Here is a 6826-nt window from a genome sequence, read left to right on the forward strand (position 1 = left end):
AGTTTTCAACTTCTTTGCCTTTGGTTTGAATGTCCTCCCGTAGCTCAGAGTAATTTGATCGTCTGAAGCCTTCTCTCAGCTCGTCAAAGTCGTTCTCCGTCCAGCTTTGTTCCGTTGCTGGTGAGGAACTGCGTTCCTTTGGAGGAGGAGAGGTGCTCTGCTTTTTAGAGTTTCCAGTTTTTCTGTTCTGTTTTTTCCCCATCTTTGTGGTTTTATCTACTTTTGGTCTTTGATGATGGTGATGTACAGATGGGTTTTTGGTGTGGATGTCCTTTCTGTTTGTTAGTTTTCCTTCTAACAGAGAGGACCCTCAGCTGCAGGTCTGTTGGAATACCCTGCCGTGTGAGGTGTCAGTGTGCCCCTGCTGGCGGGTGCCTCCCAGTTAGGCTGCTCAGGGGTCAGGGGTCAGGGACCCACTTGAGGAGGCAGTCTGCCCGTTCTCAGATCTCCAGCTGCGTGCTGGGAGAACTACTGCTCTCTTCAAAGCTGTCAGACAGGGACATTTAAGTCTGCAGAGGTTACTGCTGTCTTTTTGTTTGTCTGTGCCCTGCCCCCAGAGGTGGAGCCTACGGAGGCAGGCAGGCCTCCTTGAGCTGTGGTGGGCTCCACCCAGTTCGAGCTTCCTGGCTGCTTTGTTTACCTAAGCAAGCCTGGGCAATGGCGGGCGCCCCTCCCCCAGCCTCGCTGCCGCCTTGCAGTTTGATCTCAGACTGCTGTGCTAGCAATCAGCGAGACTCCGTGGGCGTAGGACCCTCCGAGCCAGGTGCGGGATATATTCTCCCGGTGTGCCGTTTTTTAAGCCTGTCGGAAAAGCGCAGTATTCGGGTGGGAGTGACCCGATTTTGCGGTCTGTCACCCCTTTCTTTGACTAGGAAAGGGAACTCCCTGACCCCTTGCGCTTCCCGAGTGAGGCAATGCCTCACCCTGCTTCCACACGGTGCGCGCACCCACTGACCTGCGCCCACTGTCTGGCACTCCCTAGTGAGATGAACCCAGTACCTCAGATGGAAATGCAGAAATCACCTGTCTTCTGCGTGGCTCACGCTGGGAGCTGTAGACCTGAGCTGTTCCTATTCGGCCATCTTGGCTCCTCCCCACCCTAGTCTGGTAAGTTCTATGTCATATTTCTAAACTACAGAAGAGTAAGAGAATACATTTGCCTTGTTTTAAGTTGCTATGTGTGGGAATTTGTTACAGCATCAATAAAAAACTAATACAGAAAACAACTGAATTTTCAACAAACCACACTGAAATGAGTTGATAACTTATGTAAAAAAATTAACCTTGACTTACCCCATGCCATAGACAAAAAAAAAAGATGTCAAATGTGTCAAATACCTAATGATAAAAGACAAAACTATAATATTTATGAAAAAAAATAATATCCTGTCATGAAATGCTTCAGTAAATTCCTAAATCTTTGAAGTAGACAAAGATTTTTTAAGTAGGAGACAAAAAGGAATTATAAAGCAAAAAAATGATAAATTGACTTTATTATTTTTTTAAAATTCAGTTTTGAAAGACATTATTAATAAAATTAAAAGACGAAATATAGATTGGGAAAAATACTATTAGTAGAACATGTATCTAACCACGGACTTATATCCAAACCATGTAACAGATTCTTACAAAGCAAAACAAATAAATAAATAGCTTCATAAAAATTGGCAAATTGTGAACATTATCTCACAAATGAAGAGTAAAAATGCTTAATAAGCACAACAATAAATGCTCAACATTATTAATCATGAGAGAAATAAAAATTAACATCCTAATTAGAGACTACAATATACTCATTGGAAAAGCTACAGTTCACAAGACTGATAGTACTAAGGGCTAGCAAGGATGTGGAGCAACTGGATCTCTCATATACTGCTTGTGGGAATCTAACATGATACACTCCATCTAAGAGTCATCTTGACAGTTACATATGAATTTAAAATACAGTTTCTATATGACCCATCAATTTTACTCCTAGGTATTTACCCAAGCGACACAAGAATATATGTCAATAGAAAGGCTTTTACACAAATATTCTTAGAAGCTCTATTCATAGTAGTCAATATCTGGAGACAAACTAAATCTCCCTCAACCAGTGAACAGATATTGAAATTGTGACATATCTATACAATCGGATACTATTTATGAATAAAAAGGGATTATCTGCTGATTTGCACTACATAAATTGGATTAATATTCAAAATGTTAAGTTGAGTGAATGAGGCCATTAAGAAAAGAGTACATAATAGTATTATTTTATTATTAATTTCTGTATTAGTTAAAATAATTTATAGGGACAGAAAGCAGAGTAGAGGTTGCCTGTATATGGCAGAAAAACTTTGGATTAAGTGTACAAGGCCATAAAAAGTGATGTGAATGTTTCTTGTCTTTATTGAATTGGTGATTACACAGTTGTATACATTTGTCAAAACATATCAAATTGTACTTCTAAAATAATGGATTCTATGTACAAGTTAGTACTAAATAAAGTTGACTTAAGATATGATTTATATAGGAAACAAACAACTAACAACAAAAGATACTTAGATGATATTCTGAAGTTTAGCAAATTACAAATATCTAATTTTGACTTTCAAATCTGCCCAATTTGCACCAAACCCACATTTCCACACTTCTTTTCTGCCACTGATCTGCATACAACAAAAATGAATTCCAAATTTTCTATCAAACATGATTATTTTTTGTTCCGTTTGTTGTCCTGATATTTCTATCTTCCCTTTATTCCCAGATTCTGTTTTTTTGCATATTATATTCTTTGTCTTAACTCCACTTTTTCAAATATTACTCCTCAAGCTATATACTCCACTTAAATATTAACTTCCCTATGATACCTTTCTTGAATCCTCCCCTTTTGATGCAGGCAAACCCCAAAGTTGAGCCATAGCCTGGGAGAGTTCATGTATTTGGCTTCACCCAGGAGATAATTCAAGAGTGAGCCAACAGAGTTAAGTGAAACTAAAACAAATTTATTAGAGCAACTGAGTACAGGAAAATGGCTGTTCCATAGACAGAGCAGGGCTACCCCATAGACAGAGCAGCACTTGTGGATTGCTGGCTAGCTAAACAAGGGACAGGTTATTCATAAATATTCTAGAAAAGGGATGCGGAGTTCACAGAACCCAGGATTCCTCCCCTTTTATATAATGTAAAGTTATTTGTAGGCATTGTCATGGCATGTAAACTGTCATGGCTCTGGTAGAAGTATCTTTTAGCATGAAAATTAATTATAATTAGCATTTAATGAGCAGTGAGGGAAACTAGAAGTTGCTTTCATCAACATCTTGGTTTTACCTGGTTTTGGATGGCTTCTTTACTGCATTCTGTTTTGACCAGATCCTGTTTTGATCAGTGGGGTAGTGACCAGTGCTTGGAAAACAAGTTCTGCTGATCTTCTACCTCACTTTCATTTGTGCTTCTATTTATTTACCCAAAACTTCCCGTTTTGTATTAAAGAACTAAGATACATATTTTGGTATCCACCACAGCAACTTGCTCATTTTATTCCTTATAATACTCCTTATACAAATCACTGATGCAAAAACCAATGATTGAATGAATGCATGGATATGAAGACATAAAAGGCAAAAAAATTGTGGACAGAAGTGTTCACTGTGTGAACAAAAATTTGCAATTATATGGAATTTATCTATTGTATTTTTGTTGCAATTTGCAAGATGTGACTACAAAAATTGCCCAAGCATTTATGAACATAGGAAGTACAAATTGCTGATTGTCACAATCCAAAAGAAAAGCTTTCAAATAATGGGCAGATTCCCTGGAAAACATGGTGGCAAACTGACAACTGTCTTACTTGGAGAATTAATTGGTCCTCTAAATTTCCAAAATTTTGATCTATTTTATGATGAAATAAAGACAATTGCATGGTGGTATCATATGTAATTATATTTTGGTCATTTTCTACTTTCGAGACTCAAATATCATTACTATACATATTCTGCTCTCCTTTACCTCCAGCTCTTTACAAATATGTTACATTTGGAAGTTTTTGATATTTTATATAAGCCTTTTGCAAAGCTGAATGTTTAAATTACTTTCTTGTTGCCATTGATAAAGTATATTTTCTATTTTATTAAAAAATTAAAGGAAGACCTGTGGGGTCTAAAAAATAGATTTCTGTGATTTCTCTTTGCTTTTGAGAATGACTTATGAAGTCCAGACGTTCATAAACTGAGATTCCATACCTTAGAGAAAATAAGCTAGAATTTATTTCATAATTAGTGGTTTGCATTATGAAATGGTCTCTACCAAATTCACATGGTGAATTTAAGTCATATTTAACCATGCAATGTCATTCCAGATGATGAAAAATGGGTAAGAGCAAACTTCCATTTTTCATCCAGATAAAAAACCTCAAAGGAGTTTGGAATCATGTGTCTATTTTACATGGCTGAATCTAAAAATGTATCACCATAACTGAGTTCAGTTCATTAAAGGGTATTTATTTAGAGGAACAGTATTCTTCCTGCTGTATTTTTATATGACTTGAGCTATTTATTAAAGTTATGTTTTCACGAAATGGCACAGAATTTATCAGCATTGCAGAATTGAGGATTTTTAAAGAAAAATCTGTATTTATTATTCTAATTAGAAAAAGTACATTCTTTCTAAAAAGAAAAGAATTCTTTTTAAAAATTTTCTTTTTTTTATTATTATTGTACTTTAAGTTTTAGGGTACATGTGCACAATGTGCAGGTTAGTTACATATGTATATAAAAATTTTCAAACATATGTTTGATAAGTTTATGGTCATCCTGTCCTTGAATTTTCCATTGAATACCTCATGATGGTTTACTAAATATTGCAGCAGAGTAAGCATGCCTTTCACATCATCCAGAATTAATTCAGCAATAATCTGAAATAGCTGGCACAACACTCACTGTGATTACCAAAAATTTAGAGAAAACCTTCAATAAGAGCAGGGATCATGGAACAAATTGGTGCAATTAGCAGCATGACCAGCCTAAGGGGGCAATGCATTTGAATAAAATGAATTTTCCATCCACCTTCTATTAAGTGGCCTTGTTCAAGGTCACTCTCTAAAATTAAAATGTTGGCTCGTTGTTAGCTATAAGTAGGGTTTGCTTGGGGTAATTCCAGTTTATACATGTAGCATCACCATGAATAATTCCACCTTTCACTCTCAAAAGTGTTCCAATTTAGATAATATATTATATGGTTATCCTATCCATAGAATAGAATCACTGGCACAATTTATGAGGTTCTTTGTAGTCTGCCCTAAGGCTATATTTCAGACACTGTCTCTTCTATTTGTACCTTATCCTTTAGATACGTGAAACTATTATTTTCTAAAAGCCTCATGCATTGCTGTACCTTTATATTACTGTACATATGGTTCTTTCTGCCTGAATTGTCTTCCTCTGCTTTTTCACAAAGTGATTTTTTATTCATTTTTAGAGGCACAAACATCGAGTCCTCTGGAATGACTTCTCTAAATCCTTTGGCATAAGATTGGAAAAGCAGTTTCAGCTTCTTTAGTTACAAATGGATTGCTAAGCCATATTTCAGTTTAGTGATAAAGTGCCTAGGGCCATTAGCAAAGGAATTATGCCACAGGCAGGGGAGTAGAGTGTGGCAGGTGAGTCTGCTACTTTACCATTCCTGCCCTTAGCAGTGTTTGATGCCTTTCACTCTGTAGTTCTGAACATTTAATTTATTTATATCCTTTATACCACTGTAGTACATAGAATTCTAAGACCCTAACATTTCTACCCTCTGGTATATATATGCCCTGAATAATCCTTTTCACTTCAATGTGGACAGGGCCTGTGAATGTGTTGATGTATCACTCCTGTTATTAGGTTACCAGTCAATTGACTGTGAGTTAATCAAAAGAGAGATTATCCTGGGTGGATTGAATGAATCATATGAGCCTTTAAAAGGGACTGGTCTGTTCCTGAAGTCAGAGGTCTGAGTGTGAGTGAGAGCAGGTGTATAAAAGAGCAATGTTGCAAAGACCCTAGAGTGGCCTCTACTAGCTGAGAGTAATCCCTGGCTCACAACCTGCCAGAAAAATTGACCTTAGTACTACAACTGTCAGAGATTTTAAGTTGCCCCAAAACCTCAATGATCTTTGAATAGGATCTTTATCTCCAAATAGAAACAGAGGTCAACCCACACCTTGATTTCAACTTGGCAAAACCTTAAGCAGAGGACTCAGCGAACATGTGCTTGGACTTCTGAACTACAGAACTGTGAGATAATAAATTGGTGTAATTATAAGTTGCTAAATTTGTAGTCATATATTATCTGAAATAGAAAACAAGTGCAATCATTTAGCACATTAATAAGTATTTACTTTTATTCAGGAATTATGTAACTTTATTTAGTATTTGCTTAGTAATAATTATTGTGAGTTTTTGAGCATGGGAACTATGTCTTATTATCTTTTTTATGCTCAATCCCTATCAGAAGTTGTGTATTAAATAAATATTTGTCAAACAAATAAACAAATGGTGCCTAGTTTCCTCTTGTTGCTTAGGGTCCCATAATAGAACTAACTACATAAGTCCAATTTCCCCAGGTAATGTCCCAAGTCCTGAATCTCTCCATCCTGCTTTTTAACCTATCCAAATTTACCTGCTGGCTGATTTTGGTTATTAGATACCAATTTTGTGCGTTTCATATTAATATCTGCTGTTCTTTCTTAATTAGAAACTGGAAAGAGAATTAAACACTAATGCCCTAAGACATCTCTTTCATGTAATAAAACAACTTATATTCTGTGCATCTATAATGGTTCTAGTTCCTTACCAACTTTGAAAAG

The 6826-nt window shown here is 36.3% G+C and overlaps 1 long non-coding RNA gene across 1 annotated transcript, besides 1 other annotated feature; it reads left to right on the top strand.

The window, feature by feature from the left end:
- Positions 244-798: an enhancer, noted in NCBI's record as "NANOG-H3K27ac-H3K4me1 hESC enhancer chrX:125243268-125243822 (GRCh37/hg19 assembly coordinates)". NCBI's record gives its function as "activates a minimal SCP1, AML or CMV promoter by ChIP-STARR-seq in primed H9 embryonic stem cells {active_cell/tissue: H9 hESC(primed)}" and the evidence as "EXISTENCE:reporter gene assay evidence [ECO:0000049][PMID:30033119]".
- LOC101928495 (uncharacterized) lies at positions 721-6521 on the top strand. The gene is made up of 3 exons (NR_110409.1): positions 721-763; positions 873-1107; positions 6161-6521. It is a non-coding gene; the product is annotated as an uncharacterized LOC101928495 (long non-coding RNA).
- Positions 6522-6826: the final 305 nt, after the last annotated feature.

Source organism: Homo sapiens, chromosome X (assembly GCF_000001405.40).
Source record: "Homo sapiens chromosome X, GRCh38.p14 Primary Assembly".
NCBI lineage: Eukaryota > Metazoa > Chordata > Mammalia > Primates > Hominidae > Homo > Homo sapiens.